The sequence below is a fragment of the Homo sapiens genome, chromosome 9, assembly GCF_000001405.40.
Source record: "Homo sapiens chromosome 9, GRCh38.p14 Primary Assembly".
NCBI lineage: Eukaryota > Metazoa > Chordata > Mammalia > Primates > Hominidae > Homo > Homo sapiens.
In genome coordinates, this window is record NC_000009.12 from 77,389,354 (window position 1) to 77,407,768 (window position 18,415).

Genomic DNA, 18,415 nt, shown 5'->3' on the forward strand with positions numbered 1-18,415 from the left:
CTGGAGTGCAGTGGCTTGAATAAGCTCACTGTATCCTCAAACTATGGACTGAAGTAGTCCTCCTGCTCCACCCTCCCAAGTAGCTGGGACTACAGGCATGCACCACTATGCCAGGCTAATTTTTTAAATTTTTTCGTAGAGACAGGGTCTTGCTATGTGGCCCGGGCTGGTCTTGAACTGAGCTCAAGCGATCCTACCGCTTCAGCCTCCCAAAGTGTTGGGATTTCAGACGTGATCCATTGCTCTCGGCTTTTTGTTTGTATACCTGATGTAGAAGCTTTTTTCTTTTTCGTTAAACATTTCTACCTTTTGACTCTATACTTTTTTAAAAACATTTCTTCCCTTTAAGTAAATCTTTTAAAATGTGTTTGCATGGGTATGTGTGTGTATGATTCCTGTGTCCTTCATTGTGTCTGAATGTTGACAGCTGAGTTGTTGTCCTGTGGGTGTAGTATAGTGTGTTCTTAAACATTTCAGGTATTTTTGAATTTATCTATGTTGTCTTTGAATCTTTTACAGGGATTCTATAACTGCCGTCATGTAAGTTGTTACAGAAGGGAGGCTGTTTTTGTGTCTTGTATATTTCTTTTCTTTCAGAAATTACAGATGTTTATAATTAGCTTCAAACACTGCCTTAATAGCAATTGGAAGATAACTGCCGTCAGCCGACGTGGTCTTTCCCTTTACTTCAGGAGGAGAATGACTACTAATCTGGAAGAAAGGTCTTACTATAGCAGTCAGATCACCAGAGTAGTGCCGAACACTTCCTGGCTTCATCTGAAAATTTGAGTAAGTGGACAAGAACTAGGAGACAAAGGCTATTGGACTTCACTCTTCATTTTATAGCTCTTCCTCTCCAGAAGGATACTTCTGAATGGGATGAGAACACTGAAGAGAGCCAAATTGTGTTATCCAGGCAAATTAGAATTCTTAGCATCTCAAATAAAGCAGATTTCATGGAAAAGATTTCCATGGATTTTTGGATACAATTATCATACCTTACTAGTTTAGCAGGAATCTCTTGGAGAGACTGTCACATTATTTCCAAAGGCCCAAATGTTGAACATTTAATAGTGTGTACCACTATATTTTGGACCAGTAGAGTCCAAAATAGAGTAAGGAACCCCACTTAGAACCTTCCAGTGTTATATAAAAATAATTTTAGAATAAGATTTTGAAATAAATTATGTCTTCCTCTGGTGGTGATGATTCCACTTCGTGGAGGTTCAGGTTTTTTCTTTCATCTCAAGTGTAAAATTTATTCATTTCCCACCGCCCGCCACCCCTCCCCCCACCCCGTCCCTCTCTTTTTGTTGTTGTTGTTGTTGTTGTTGTTTGTTGTTGAGACAAGGTCTCACTCTCTCGCCCAAGCTGGAATGCAGTGGTGCAATCATAGCTCACTGCAGCCTTGAACTCCTAGGCTCAAGTGATCCTCCCACCTCAGCCTCCCAAGTAGCTGGGATTATAGACATGAGCCACTGCGTCTGGCCTAATTCTCTTTTTTAATTCAGGAACTTAAATGAGACTAATTTGATTTCTAGATCTTTCAGTTTGTCATCATTGCATCCCTTAAATTTGTAAATATATTAAGAAAGGATAAATGCTACTGTAATAGAAAATTCAATACATTATAACATTAAAAGAAATCCTCAAATGTTAAGCCCAGGTACGTTCAATTTGAGTCTTACATCTTTTTAATCAAAGATCTGTCAATACAGCTAAAAGTGCAGTAAGTATTAGCTAGAAGGTCTTCAGCCTTAATTAAGCAAAGTTGCTAAATTCTGATACAGGACTCAACTCATGATTTCTCTACTGATGTGATAGAGCTCTACCTAGTAACTTTCCCTAGTTACCTTGGACACAAAGATTCTCAGCATAAGGTGAGTGTAGTAAAGCTCATTCAGAAATATTTGTGTGTGTGTACGTGCATGCTGTAACAATAACATTGTTAGAAAACTAGTATACATTATGAAAAGTCTATTTTTTATTAGCCAAATGTCCTGTGAAAGGATACATTCACTTGCCGAATGAAAGTTATCATGCAAAATCAGATTAGAGGCCTCTTTTCACTCATCCAAAAACACAATTTAATGCCATCTATTAAAGGAAGCACCATGTTTTTTGGTGTTTTGTTTTTGTCAGTTAAGAATCTTTTGTTTTAAATTCAAATGAAATTGATATCCTAGTCACTTCTAATGATGACTCTAATGAATTGTAATGGTAATTTTTCAGTGAAAATTTATCACTGTAAAGAACCCTACGGAAGCACTATAAAGAAATATAGATTTAGACATTTCTGTGGTACTTCAAGTCTAAGTAGTTTGAGTTAGAGATCTTATGAAGATGCAGTGTTGGAATACAAATATGGGAGATTGAACATTTCATGTAAAGTTAATCTTTATGGAATAAGTTGCCAAAAGAATAAAATATATGGATAGATATAGATATATAAAATTGAATTTTTGCTGGCTTTATTTGGTAGCATAGTTTATATGAATACAAAGAAAAGAATTAATGCCATGTATTCATTTGTTCTACAAACAAATTCAGTTCTGTTCATTATGTGTTCAGACACTCTTGTAGATAGTAGAGTTACAGCCCTGAAGAGAGTATTGAAGGTTCCTGCTCATCTCTCATGAGTTTATAATTGTAATGAGCTTTATTGTTCTGGTGATGGGGCATAAAACACATGCCACGTTAGAGGCCAACCCTGTAATGTCGGATCTTCACACTCTCATTCCTGTTTGTTGTTTAGCCGGTATATGCAAGGCTGTAAAGAACATTAGGAATCAGAGACACCTAAAATATGACCCATCTTCCACAGAGACAGTGATCCCTAGGTATTATATGAACTTGAAGCATTGCAAGAGACATGATAACAGTTTGTGAGATATCTAAATCCATATACCAATGAACGGTTAAAATGAGATCCCACTGAGTCTACTGGAATATATATAGTTCTTCTGTGCTAACTCGTTTTGTTAATAAAAATTATTTTGAGATATAGCAATACCCTGTGCCTAAGGGCCTGGACTCTGGAGCCAAGTAAACCTGAGTTCAATTGTAGCCTTTTTCCTTTTACTAGAGTTATTATTTTTTATTATGCTTATCTGACGTCAGTTTCCAGGTTGTAAAAGAGAGATAATTGTAGTGCTTATCTTGGTGTTGTTGCTAGGGTTAGAACAAATGAGGTAATGTATGTACAGCCATACCTCAGAGATACTGCACGTTCAGTTCCAGACCACCAGAATAAAGCGAATATGGCAACAAAGCAAGTCACACGCATATATTTGTTCTCCAGTGCATATAAAAATTATGTTTATAATGTAGACTATTATGTACAATCACGTCGTTAAAAAACTATATATACACTATATAAAACTATATATAACTATATAAAACTATATATAACTATATAAAACTATATATATACACACCTTAATTTAAAAATACATAATTGCTAAAAAAAAAAAAAAATCCTGATCATCTGAAGCCTTCAGTGAGTCCATCTTTTTGCATGCCTGGTGTTGATGGTTGCTGACTGATTAGGATAGGGATTGCTGAAGGTTGGGATAGCTGTGGTAATATCTTAAAATGAAGTTTCCCACATTGATTGACTCTTCCTTTCACGAAAGATTTATCTGTAGTATGTGATGCTGTTTGATAGCATTTTACCCTCAATAGAACTTCTTTCAAAATTGGAATCAGTCCTCTCAAACCCTACTGCTGCTTTATCAGTTATTTTTATGGAATAATCTAAATCCTTTGTTGTCATTTAAACAATCATAGAATCTTCCCCGATAATAGATTCCATCTGGAGAAACCATTTTCTTTGCTTATCCATAAGAAGCAATTTCTCCTTTGTTCAAGTTTTATCATAGGATTGTAACAATTCAGTTACCTCTTCATGCTCCACTTCTAATCCCCTTGCTATTTGCACCATATCTGCAATTACTTCCTCCGCTGAAGTCTTGAACCCTCAAAGTCATCCATGATGGTTGCAATCCACTTTTTCCAGACAAACTCCTGTTACTATTGATATTTTGACCTCGTCTTATTAATCACAGATGTTTTTAATGGCATCTAGAATAGTGAATCCTTTCCATAAGTTTTCAATTTACTTTGACCAGATCCATCAGAAGAATCACTCCCTGTGGCAGCCCAACAAAATGTATTTCTTAAATAATAAGACTTGAAAGTTGAAATTACTGTTTGATCCATGGGGGCTGTAGAATGGATGGTTGTGTTAGCAGGCATGAAAATGACATTAATCTCGTACATCTTCATCAGAGCTCTTGAGCCCGAGTGACTAGGTGCATGGTCAATGAGCAGTAATATTTTTCTGAGCGATAGGTCTCAACAGTGGGCTTAAAATATTTAGTAAACTTTAAGTAATTCTTAAGGACTCTAGGATTTTTTCTTTTTCTTTTTTTTGAGACGGAGTCTCGCTCTGTCACCCAGGTAGCCTGCAATGGTGCAGTCTCGGCTCACTGCAACCTCCGCCTCCTGGGTTCAAGCAATTCTCCTGTCTCGGCCTCCTGAGTAGCTGGGATTACAGGCGCCTGCCACAACATGGGCTAATTTTCATATTTTTAGTAGAGATGGGGTTTCACCATGTTGGCCAGGCTGGGGACGATCTCCTGACCTCAGGTGATCCACCCACCTCGGCGTCCCAAAGTGCTAGGATTACAGGCATGAGCCACCACACCCGGCACTTTTTTTTCTTTTGAGATAAGAGTCTCACTCTGTCACCCAGGCTGGAGTGCAGTGATATGGCCTTGGCTTATTGCAGCCTCGAACTCCCAGGCTTAGTTGATTCTCCCACCTCAGCCTCTTGAGTAGCTGAGACTACAGGCATGTGCCACCACATCTGGCTAATTTTTTTTTTTTTTCTGTAGAGATGGGGTTTCACCATGTTGCCCAAGCTAGTCTTGAACTCTTGTGCTCAAGCGATCCGCCCACCATGGCCTCCCAAAGTGCTGGAATTATACACGTGAGATGCCTCATGTGGCCAGGGCTCTAGGATTTTTGGAATGGAGTCTTGGCTTCAACTTAAAGTCACCAGCTGCACCAGGCATGGCGGCAGCCACCTGTTGTCCCAGCTATTTGGGAGACTGAGGCAAGAGGATCCCTTGAACCCAGAACTTCAAGTCCAGGTTGAGCAAAACAGCAAGACCATGTCTCTAAAGAAATTAAATAAAGTCACCAGCTGCACTAGCCCCTAACAAGAGAATCCGACTGTCTTTTGAAGCTTTAAAGCCAGGCATTTACTTCTCTCTAGCTATGAAAGTCCTGGATAGCATCTTTCAATAGAAGTCTATCTCATCTACATTGAAAATCTGTAGTTTAGTGTAGCCACTGTCATCAGTGATCTTAGCTAGATCTTCTGGCTAACTTGCTGTAGCTTCTGCATCAGCACTTGCCCCTTCACCTTGTGCTTTTATGCTATGGAGGTGAATTCTTTCCTTAAACCTCATGAACCAATCTCTGCTAGCTTCACCTTTTCTTCTGCAGCTTCCTCACCTCTCTCAGCCTTCATATAATTGAAGATAGTTAGGGCCTTGCTCTGGATTAGGCTTTGGCTTGAAGAAATGTTGTGGCTGGTTTATCTTCTATCCAGACCACTAAAACGTTCTCCATATCAGCAATCAGGCTGTTTTGCTTTCTTATAATTCTTGTGTTCACTGGAGTAACACTTTCATAATACTTTCCTTCAAGAATTTTTCCTTTGCATTCAAGATTGGCTGTTTGGTACAAGAGGTACTACCTTTCAGTCTAACTCAGCTTTTGACATGTCTTTCTCACTAAGCTTGGTCGTTTCTAGCTTTTGATTTAAAGTGATAGACATATAACTCTTCATTTCACTTGAACACTTAGAGGTCATTGTAGGGCTGTTAATTGGCCTAATTTCAATATTGTTGTTTCTCACGTAATAGGGAGGCTCAAGGAGAGGGAGAGGATTTGGGAAACGTCCAATCAGTGGGGCAGTCAGAACACACATTTATAGATTAAGTTCACTCTCTATGGCTGTAGTTTATGGCACCTCAAAAAGGACTATAAAATAGCAGTATCAAAGATCAGTGATCACAGATCACCATAACAGATATAATAATGATAAAAAAAGTTTGAAATATTGTAAGAATTAACAAAATGTGACTTAGAGACACGAAATGAGCATGTGCTGTTGGACAAATGGTGCCTGTAGACTTGCTTGATGCAGAGTTGCCATAAACCTTCAATTTGTAAAAAACACAATATCTGGGAAATACAATAAAATGGAGTATAATAAAATTAGATATGCCTGTAATTATTAGCATGGTGCCTAATAATAACTCATTATATTTTTATTATTCCAGATGAATACCAGTTTATGCAAGTTCTTAGTCATCATTATATAAATTCCTCATTTTTGTCCTCTTTGGCAAGACAAAATCTATTCTATTTAAGAGTAGATTTTAAGAATTTAAAAGAATAGATTTTAAGAATTTAAAAAAGAATCTTTTTTTCCTTTCAAGGTTAACAGAGTAGTTAAAACACCATGACAGTTTTCCACACATGCTAATTGGCAAGCAGTTGAAACAGTAAAACCTCAGTGATTTGAACTGCTCTGAATTATACAGTATTTTAAAAGAAATGTTACTGCTGCTTTCAGGGATATGTAGTATGATGGACCCGTAAATGTTGATCCATTAGAGGTTCTGCTGAACTTTAGTGAGACTTTTGTTACTGTGCACCTACATTACCCTTGATGCTCTCACTCTGGCTCTTCTCCTAGAATATATTAAGTACGTTAATTGATGGTCTGCTGTTGTCAGTACATATAACTATTTGATGAGCATAGTTATTTTCCTTCTCCAGGCTTTTGGTTGTACCAGTTGATGACAACAATTCGTATCTCTTAAGATATAGTAGTTTCTTACACTTGATTTTATGTCAAAGGTTATGCTCAGCTTTCCTGCCCTGTCTAAGCTGTCAGTATAGCCTATACCTATGGTTTTGCTGACAGTCAAGATAGCATATTAGCATGGGAGAGGATGAAGTTATGAGGGATAAAATAAGTGCTGGTTGCTCTTCAGATTTGACCATATAGTCAGTAAGATTTTATTTTTTTAAAACCAACTTACCTCAGACAAGGTAAGCTACCTGTCACTTCTTTATTCTTGTTTACATTTATTCTCATTCAAGAATATGAAATCATTAAGTTTTGAGGTAATAAATTTCTACTATATTTGATTGTGAAGTTTGCTTGAATACCTTCTTTTTCCTGGCCATGGCACTCGAGTCTGAGGTTTGAAGTGAATTAGTAAAACTTTCTTTATCCCTAAAAATTCATCATAAAACTCTAAGGAAGTTATACTTATTAAGTTTTCTCTAAAGATAAGATTGTTTTGAACAGTTTGTCTATTTACTTCTTAAATAGTTTTAAAATGGCAGTATTTACCATTTTACAATTAACTTCCTGAATTTTGTTGGTTTTAGAAATAAGCTTAAATTTTAAGTAGAATCTATTCATAAATGCTTCCTCTTTCCCACTCATCTCCGGAACCCTCAAATTAACCAGTCTATAAAACCATTTGTTATCTATATATTTTCTTGCTTGATAGTATTCATTTTTATCTTTCATTTAGATGAATTTCATGGTTTTTTGTTTTTGAGACGGAGTCTCGCTCTGTTGCCCAGGCTGGAGTGCAATGGTGTGATCTCAGCTCACTGCAACCTCTGCCTCCTAGGTTCAAGTGATTCTCCTTGCCTCAGCCTCCCAAGTAGCTGGGATTACAGGCTCCTGCCACCACAACCAGTTAATTTTTTGTATTTTTAGTGGAGACGGGGTCTCACCGTGTTGGCCAGGCTGGTCTCAAACTCCTGGCCTTGGGATCCGCCCGCCTCGGCCTCCCAAAGTGCTGGGATTACAGGTGTGAGCCACCGTGTCTGGCTGAATTTCATGTTTTTAATCCCCCATTTTTGCTATTTTTTTTTAAACGTTCATACCTCTTTGCAACACTTGTCTTCCACATGAGTCAGATATTGATTAGATTTTGGTTTTTTGTTTTGCCGAACAACATGTTCTTGTCCTTTAACCAATTTTCTTAAATATATTTCCTATTAATGATTAACACATTCTTTGGTTGGGACTTAAAGCCTTTTATTTTAGTGATTTATTCCTATTTTTAATCTTTTCATATTTTGCATTATTTTTCAGAAGTATTTTTGTTAAGGGATTCTGTTTCTTCATAACATTTGGATGATTTGAGAGTGTTAGAAGTGTCTCTGTTACCATGGCTCTGTCCTTCAAGTTCCACTTTCTTTGTGTTTCCAAATGTATCATTAATTTGGTTTGAATTTATTTATGTCTAATAAAGTATGGTTTATGTACTCATCTTTTCTAAATGCAAAAGGACCTGTTTACCAGTAACCATGTATTTTAATTATTACCTATAGATTCTGACAATTGTATATAATGAATGCAGTTTCCATTGTGTTTCTGTTTCTTTTAGTAATTCTTAAACTATGATAGGTAATTTATATATATACTTTTAATGAATAAGGCGAAAAAAATGTTTTTCCTTTAACATTTAAGCATATAAATGAGGCTAACATGTCTAAAGTACTGGCATTGTTAATTCCTTCATAGTTCAGCCAAATCTTGGTCTTTATGTAAAGGCCCTACATGATGATTCCCAAACCCTGATTTTGCTAATTCTTCATTTATTTTAAAGGCTATCACAAATTATTTTAATAGAACCATTTATACCTAGCATCTGTTTGGGATGGAGGAAGATAGGATTTTTGACACTAAATTATTTGAATACTGTTGACCTGGAAAAAATTAGCAGCCTACCTCAGCAACTATCAGTATCCAGGGATATCAAAGACATTTTTTGAGGTACCATGAGGAAAGTATGACTGATACCATGAGGAAGAAACATCATGATATGTTTGGTATAGTGAAACGCACTGGAATTAGAAGTGAAGAATCCAGTTTTCTGAGCCCAGTTTTGCAACTAACCCCAAGCAAGTCACTTAGATGTACTCTTACCTAATTACACAAGATGGTGAAAATTTAGATTTAGAAGATTCATTAGACACTTACTGATCCTCAGTTTCTTTGTGTGTAAAAGGAAGAGATTGGTTTGGATGAGCAACAGGAGTTTTTCGGTTCCAAAATTCTGGGGTTTTTTCCCCCCAAAAATGATGTTTTGAGTAGTCTAAAGCTTCTTATATAATGCATTCATAAAGTCAGGCAGGAATTTGTGACTACAACGTGACATTTGTAGACTTTTTACAGCGTGACGTTCTCTCCCATTAACTTCTGTGGATTCAGTTTGAAAGTTTTGGATTCTGTTTATAATGTTCTTATTCCGTATTCTCATGTTTATAATGGAGACTGACCAGCAAGATTTTGCTGTGCGATGAGTTATCTTTGACGCTTTGACGTTTATTCAAATACAGTCACTCTAATAACAAAGGATACGGTTGGCAGCCATAAAAAATGATGAGTTCATATCCTTTGTAGGGACATGGATGAAATTGGAAACCATCATTCTCAGTAAACTATCGCAAGAACAAAAAACCAAACACCACATATTCTCACTCATAGGTGGGAATTGAACAATGAGATCACATGGACACAGGAAGGGGAATATCACACTCTGGGGACTGTGGTGGGGTCGGGGGAGGGGGGAGGGATAGCATTGGGAGATATACCTAATGCTAGATGACACATTAGTGGGTGCAGCGCACCAGCATGGCACATGTATACATATGTAACTAACCTGCACAATGTGCACATGTACCCTAAAACTTAGAGTATAATAAAAAAAAAAAAATAAAAAAAAAAAAAAAAAAAAAAAACAAAGGATACGGTTGATTACGTTTCAAAACAGACTACTATGACCATAAAGCTCATTCATCTATCAAGTGTGTTACATTTAAGGTTTTGGATGGAAAGCATTATATGAATTACTTTCTCTGGATTCTTTTAGCTCTTACTTATACCAGATGCTGTTGTGACTGTTGAAACTGGTTTAACTGCTTATATGCACAGATTAGATTTGATTTAAGTTGGGTCTGGAAAGTAGAAAGTGATGAGAGGTAGGCTTAATTACAATGCCCAAACTTAGCATAATATGGAAATAAAAGTTAGGTACTTGGAATAAACCATAGCTTTTAAACTATTGGAAGGTTACGATCTATTAATGGTGTATGTAGGCTCTTGAATTCTATTAGCAGTGGCATTCTTGAGATCAACATTTGTATTCTTCATTTTTAAACTTCGCCATATGGAACAAAAGAAAATGAATCTTTGAAAGCCAGTTTCTTTTCAGATATCAAAAAACTGAAACAGAATAAAAGAATGTAAAATTAAAAATAAAAGCTTAACTTCTGCCTCCACCATTATGCTTCAGAAGCCCAGTGATCAGTGCTGTTAATAGATTGATGTGTACCTTCCAGAAGTTTCTACATGTTGAAACTGGTTTAACTGCTTATATGCACAGATACATGTACGTACAAATATATGTACATGTATGCATTTCTACTTTTCATTCTATACATTCTCTTGTAATATAATTTTATTTACTATATCTTATACATCTCTCTATGTCAGTATGCACAGGTTTTTTATGACTTCATAATGCTCCATTGTATGGCTGTACATGAATTTATTTAACCAGTACCCTTTTAATGAATATTTAGATTTTGTGCTTTTAATACAATATTGCTGTGAAGATTCTTATATGTATATTTTGGCATACTTTTGCCTAAGATAAATTCTAGCAGTGTAATTGCTGACTCAGAGGGTATGTTTAATTGATTTGCATTTTCCTAATTTTGAGTTATAGTGAATATTTTCTCATGTTTATCAGTCAGATTTTTTTTTTTTTTTTTTTTTTGCTGAACTACCTTTTCATATTCTTCACACATTTTTCTACTGCTTTACTCATTTTTTTCTGTCGGTTTCTTCAAATTGCTAGAATTGTCTATATTTTGAAAATGACTCTATATCTCTGTATTGACAAATATTTTCCCAAATTGTCCTTTGATTTTTCTGTTATTTTACTTTATTACTGTTTATTTGCTTATCGTTTTGCCATTCAGTAGTGGTTAAGTTCTATGTACTTAACAATTTTTTATGTTGTGTTTTATGGACTCTGTTATATTTTGGCCTTTCCCACTTCAAGATTATTAAAATGGGCCGGGCGCGGTGGCTCATGCCTGTAATCCCAGCACTTTGGGAGGCAGAGGCGGGCAGATCAGGAGGTCAGGAGATCAAGATCCTGGCTAACATGGTGAAACCCCGTCTCTACTAAAAATACAAAAAAAAAATTAGCCGGGCGTGGTGATGGGTGCCTGTAGTCCCAGCTACTTGGGAGGCTGAGGCAGGAGAATGGCATGAACCCAGGAGGCAGAGTTTGCAGTGAGCCGAGATCGCATCACTGCACTCCAGCCTGGGCAACAGAGCGAGACTCTGTCTGAAAAAAAAAAAAAAAAGTTATTAAAATGTTACTTTTTATAGTACTTTTATAGTTATTTTCTATACTTAAATCATTGATCCATGTAGAATTGATAGGGTATATAGAGAGAAGGATACAGCTTTAGCCAGTGAGTTACTTAAAACGCCATTTATTTGATAATACATGTGTTTACCCACTAATTTGAAGTGCTGTCTTCATTTAATAAATTTCCGTAATTGGATAGGATTTTATAATGTCGTATATGCATAGTGGTCAGTTTCTGTAATCTGTATTCTTTCCTTTGATATGTCTGCATATACTTTACCACCACCAAACTATTTCACTACTGCAGCTTTATAAATTGCATTAATGTCTTCCAGAGTAGTTCTTCTCATTCTTCTTTCATAATTTACTGGATATTACCACATATTTTTCCTAGCTACATTTTAGTATAATTTTGACAAATCACTTCTTACCTCCTACCCCATGCTCCAAAAACCACCATCTTGGGATCACATGAAGTTGTGTGTGTGTGTGTGTGTGTGTGTGTGTGTGTGTGTGTGTGTGTAAAAATTGGGAGGGAGTCAATAACATCTTTATTATGATAAATTTTTATATCCAAGAATAAGATATGGATTTCCATTTCCAAAATTTCTTTTACTCCCCTGAATAGAGTGGTATGGCTTTTATCACCTATATTCTGCACAGTATTTATTAAACTTACATGTAAATATTTATCTTTTTATTACCCTTGTAAACGGGATTTCTTTCTCTTCCATTTCCAAATTGATTACTGGGTTTTGTGTGCTTGGATTTTCCAGATGTACTGTCATCCACAAATAATTTCTACTCATGATGCTTCTTCCTCTTAATATTTCTTAAAACAGTTCTTTTCATCTAAGTTTTCAAAATTATTTGCATAATTTATAAATTATCTAATACAGTAGTCCTGTCATTTCCACAGTTGCTTTCTGCAGTTTCAGTTACCCATGGCCAACCATGGTTTGAAAATATTAAATGGAAAATTTCAGAAATAAACCTTCACATACCTTTTATTACAGTATAATTGTTCTATTTTATTATTGGTTATTGTTAATCTCTTACTGTGCCTAATTGATAAATTAAACTTTATCATAGGTGTGTGTATATAGGAAAAACCATAGAATATATGTAGGGCTCAGTGCTGTCTGTGGTTTCAGGCACCCACTGGAGGTCTAGGAACATATCCCCCTGCAGATAAGGGAGAACTACTGTAATTCATATTATTTTTTTCTGAATCTGTATGTATGTCCCTTTTTCATTTGTATTACAAAGTGTTTGTGTTTATTTGCCCTACCTACTACAGTAAATAGTAAAGATATTCTTTTCCTCAATATTTTATAATCATTGAAGTTAGGAACTTCTTCCATGCAATTAATCTGTATGAGTCATCCTGCTATTTTAGTTTTTTAACTTCTTTCTCAGATAAAAATGAAAACTATCAATTTTCTATACGAAGATCATCATGAAGTCACTTCTTAGCTTTCTTCTAAGCTAAATAATTTTAGTTTTTTGGTACAGTTTCATGGAACACAATTTTCTAAAACCTTTATATCCTCTTTTGGATTTCTTTATGATTTTTCACATTTGGCTAAATTCATAACATGCCTCTTCTTGAGGGAACTTAGTCATAATTACATTGCTTGCCTTGCCTGTAAAAACAGTAGGCTAGCCTGCTATGTACTTTAAATAGCTGAAGTACGTCCATCCTCAGAGCAAATATTACTGAAAATGGAATTTAAAATGGTAAATCTTATTTTGTTCATATGGTTATATTTACATTTCTTGAAGCAAACAATTGTTAATAAACAGTGTCATGGATAGACAGTGTTTCAACAGTCTTGAAAATAAAGATTGATTCAAAGGCTAAGTAAGCCTTGGGGTCCCTGTTTGTCCAGAAACTCTCTGCTCTTTATTTTTTACTAAGTTGTGAGATTGACAAAGAAAAGCATATTTGTTACATACGAAATTTCTAGCGCAAGGCAGAAGCTAATAAGTAATTTATGTGATGCATATGTTTAGATTTGTGTTAGTATTTACATGTGTTTTTGTACAAATATTATTAAATACTAATGTGTTTTCCAATATAAAGTCACTGTAATAGTTAAATACCTCATTAGATTGAATTTAAACTTTGTAAGATAACATCAGCTTCTAAAAGTCTAGCATTAAAGGCTGGCATTGCTGCAACTGAGTAATGTTAAATAAAGTAGTGCAAGTAGATGCTTTTAAAAAGGAAACAGCAATGATTTTACAAATAATTAAATGTTTTCTCTATGTTAATGGTTTGCCCCATTGAGAAATGGTTTTTAGAGGACTATAAGGCATTGTTTGCATTACAGTAGGAAATACTATCAATTTTCTCATTGTCTCTCACTTTTTTCTTTTAGGTCATGGAAAATGGAAGATTTGCAAAATACAAATATTTTACCCATGTCATGATCAATAAGACAGATATGCTAATGATAACCAGACGGTAACTTGCTTTCTTTCTCTTACGTAATTTTATAAGGGGTTAACTGACAGCGACTCATGAGGTGAAGATTTGTTATTCACCTTTTGTTCCATATAGTCACACTGATTCTTGGGTCTTCTTGCTCCACAAGCCTAACTCGCTAAACATTACATAAATTTCCTGCATAGCTTTGTGCATGCATACAGATAAACACAGTCATGCACAGACATAAATATTTTAGTATTTGTTTCAACTAATTTAACTGGATGCAGAAATTCCATAAAGCTATCCTCTTAAAAGTAAGCTTTCTCCTCTCTGAAGAAGTGTACAATTTTAGGTTATCCCAGAAGTCAGCAGTCCTCTGGTAGTATCTGTTTGTTAGAATATATATAGATTGACGTAAGTGGATATACTAGTAGAAGCAGATAAAATTTTAGGTGGATACTCCAGCGACTTCTTCAAGTAGACAGTGGAGGGGTACATGTAAAAATACACAGGGGCATAGCCTCAGAGGGGCAAGTGTGCAGAAGTCATTGTTAAACTAGGGAAAAAATGAGCAAGTGCATTAGTAAGATGGCAGTCTCTGGGTGGTGGAGAGTGAAAATACGGCTAGCAGGGAGAAGTTAGAGCTAAATAGAAATGAATTGTCAATCTATGGTTTTGTTCACTTATGAAAGGTAAAGTTATATGAGCATTGTGTTGGTTCAAGGTGACTACTAAGCAGTCACTTTTAATGTTGTAATCTCAATTTCTGAATCTAAAATGTATAGCCCTATTTTAATTTTCTTATTTAAAAAGTAACACCAAGTGGAAAACTTCCACAATATTAGAAGTTATACCTGTAAAAAGTAAGTCTTCATTCCACCCCAGATACTGGTCCCTCTGTTCCCTTCCAAGAGGCAGCCCATTTTTTACTTGTTTCCTTTGTATCCTTCTTGAAATATTCTATGCCTCTACAGGTAGACATACACACACATTTTAATGTAGATGAAATTCTCTTATATATACCATTATGTACTTAGTTTTAATTTTTCACTTGAGATCTATATTTTGAAGATTATTACATGTCAACGTATGGACAGCTGTCTTAATTTGTAAATTCCTGCCTAATATTTATTTAGGAGTATGTACGAATTTACATGTAACTTGTTTCTAGACTTTTGTAATTAATTACAGACATTGCTTCAGCGATCATTTTTGCTCATAAAAATTTTCCATCATGTTTTTAGTAACTCACTTTCCCATTGACTAAAGGAAAGGTAACTAATCAGCATTAAGCAAAATCAGTTGCAAAGTTTGGTTCCAAATCTTGCAACATTTTAAAAGTTATCTTTTTTCTCAACACAGTGGACCTCTTTAGATGAGGCCATGGTGCCTTGACAGAATAAGGGAAGTGAATTAGTTGTAGTTGAATAAAACGTGATGGTTATACTTGAGATTCCCTTTCCAAGTTTCGGGTTTGAGGATAAAGGATCTTTGAATCAGGACTGGGAATAGCTGCTACATTGGCCAGCCTGTCTGTGATTTTTCACATGGTTGGAGATGTCCTGGGGCACCACTAGGTTTGCTCCATCAGCTCCTGTAATCCAGGACTGGTAAAAGAGGGGAGCAGGGACAGAAGATGGAAGTGAGAGATAGATATAAATCCTGGCTAGCTCTCTCCTTTTCCATCCTAGCCAGGAGTCAGACCTTTTTTTTTTTAACTCAATCTAATACAAACCTCTGGTTGCACCTACAATTGATGTTTCAATCAGAAAGAAAAATTAAGAAGAAAGACATTTGAAGGAAGGATTAAATAGACTTCTTATAGACAGAAGGTATTTTCATTTCTTGGTTTCTTTCTTCAAAATGGGAAAACAAGAATTTATTTAAAAATTAGAATGATGCTTTTTGAAGTCTTCCTCTAAAATTGGCAGTAATGGGACTTGATTTTACCTGTGAACATCCTGAGGCCCTCAGCATGATGATTCTGTTCAACATGGTTAGAAAAGCTTTTTTCTGATGTAGTTGGGAAATACGTTACATGGAGCCTTAGAAATGAAAGTATTTATTCTAAGGCGTTAATTATATGAAAGTTCCTCCAAATATTGGCTGATAGTTGGTTCTGTAAATGTACCCTGTTTCTTATGAAGTGCCTTACATATTTGATTTTGTAAGAAGTGCTTCAGTTTTTCTAATATAAATATGTTGTGTTATAAATTTCCCATTGAGCATTATGTTAGCTGCATCCCACAAATTTTATGGTGTATTTTCATTCTTATTCTGTTCAAAATATTTTCTAATTTCCTTTGAGATTCTTTGACCCCTGGATTATTTGGAAGTGTTACTTTTAAGCATTTGGAAATACTATTGTTATCTTTTTGTTTGGGTTTCTAGTTTAGTTCTGTTATGATCTGAGGACACACTTTATGGTTCCAGTTCTTTTAAATTCATTAAGAATATAGAATATAGTCTATGTTGATGAATATTGCATTTGCACTTGCGATTCATTCGTATCCTGTTGTTATTGGATATAAGTGCCTCAATTTTAAAGCGAATTCTTTTTTTGTTTTTCTTTTTGCAGTGGTGTATTGTTTGTAACAAAGGGAACATTTGGACAACTCACGTGTGAGTGGCAGTATAGTTTTGATGAATTTACCAAAGAGCCATTCATTGTTCATGGGAGAAGATTGCGCATTGAAGCAAAGGTATGTTGAATAGATTTATTTTTTGAAAACTTGGAACTGAAAATAATGCTTTGAAGTAGTCCTTTTTATTTGTATAATGCTCTACCTCTTTTATAGATGTCACTTTGTCCTGGTGTGGTTTTCCCTTATACCTGCTATCTTACCCAGGCTTAAAGGAAAAAAAAAAAAAAACTAGGCCAAGAAAAACTGTGCTTTCTGTGCTATTGCACTGACAATAACATTCCTGGGCCCTTGCTGTATATTCAGTAACAGAGCCCCACCTTCCCACATATGAAATAATGGATAGTGGCTATTAGCCTGTGCTGCAGTCCATACTGCTTTCCTGGCTTTTTAAATATATTTTCCCTTTCTAACATTAATACATTCTCTTATCTCTTTGATTTCTTCCCCTTCCCCCTTTTCATGAGACCTTATATCTACAATTCTGCAATCATTCTTTTTTTCTTTTTTGAGACAGAGTCTTGCCCTGTCGCCCAAGCTGGAGTGCAGTGGCGCTCTTGGATCACTGCAACCTCCACCTCCCAGGTTCAAGTGATTCTCCTGCCTCAGCCTCCTGAGTAGCTGGGATTACAGGCATGTGCCACCATGCCGACTAATTTTTGTATTTTTAGTACAGACGGTGTTTCACCAGGTTGGCCAGTCTGGTCTTGAATTCCTGGGCTCAAGCAATCTGCCTGCCTCAGCCTCCCAAAGTACTGTGATTATAGACGTGAGCCACTGGACCCAGCCTCATCTTTTTTTTTTTTAATTAGAAGAAAGAATGTAATTCTTCTAGTGTCTGTATTTGCATGGATAGTTGAATTACTTATAGAACATGTTTGACTAGTAAAACCTTTACTTTGCCCTCTATGACCTCACCCATATGTACAGAGGAAAACATCATCCTTGTCCTCAATAGTTTCACTTCTGTTTGCCCCTGATATGCTTAATATCTGCTCTGAGACAGTCCCACTCCCCACTACCAATACTAAACATAATACCAACGGAGCATAAATAGTGGAGGAAAATCATCTAGGACACAACCTGATCTCTCTTTGATTCTAAACTATATTCTTACTGTATGACTGGTTTAAAATGGCAGAAGTACATACATGCACGCACACATGCACATACAATATATGTATGTGTTTATGTACGTATGCATACACACACATGTGCATATATTTTTAACCTGGACTCACTCATGATTCTATGGCCAGATAACAACTGTGTAAGAAATTATTTGGAGACGAAAAACAGTGGCACTACTCCCCAACTTACCTCCTTCCCATCCTTTATGTCGACTCTTTATGGCATTAGCAATTAAAATATCACCTTAAGCTTTTTAACTTAGGTTTAGTGATAATGGTTGTGTTATTAATAGAATGTAGTCTTTTTTTCTATTGGTTTTGATTCTTCTTGCTTCCTCATTCTTGTCTTTTTTAAGGTGCATGATTTGTATAAGAGGGACACTTTAGGCATACAGTAATAAAGCTTTGTGGCATTTCTTTATGGATTTTTACAACCAGATTATCTTTTTAATGAATTTACATATTCTGTTTATAGGAACGAGTGAAGTCTGTATTTCATGCCAGAGAGTTTGGAAAAATAATTAACTTCAAGACCCCAGAGGATGCCAGGGTAAATATAATAAATCTTTTATTTAAATAGGAGCTGCTCACTTCAAAATCATGTAAGTGGACTATTTTTTAATGCAGATAAGTTTTGTTTGGGGGTTTTTGTTTGTTTGTTTTGCTTTTGTGTTTTGGCAGGTTTTAAAAGTATATGTAACCAGATAATAT

General features: G+C 35.7%; 1 protein-coding gene across 2 annotated transcripts in view; it reads left to right on the forward strand.

Moving 5' to 3' along the window:
• The window catches only part of VPS13A (vacuolar protein sorting 13 homolog A), a 244,004-nt gene that overhangs the window by 211,820 nt on the left and 13,769 nt on the right, over positions 1–18,415 (forward strand). For both annotated transcript variants that reach the window (NM_033305.3, NM_001018037.2), the window contains 3 exons: positions 13,883–13,968; positions 16,511–16,634; positions 18,180–18,254. In NM_033305.3, the coding sequence (NP_150648.2) occupies positions 13,883–13,968; positions 16,511–16,634; positions 18,180–18,254 (285 nt within the window). The remainder of the gene's footprint in view (positions 1–13,882; positions 13,969–16,510; positions 16,635–18,179; positions 18,255–18,415) is intronic.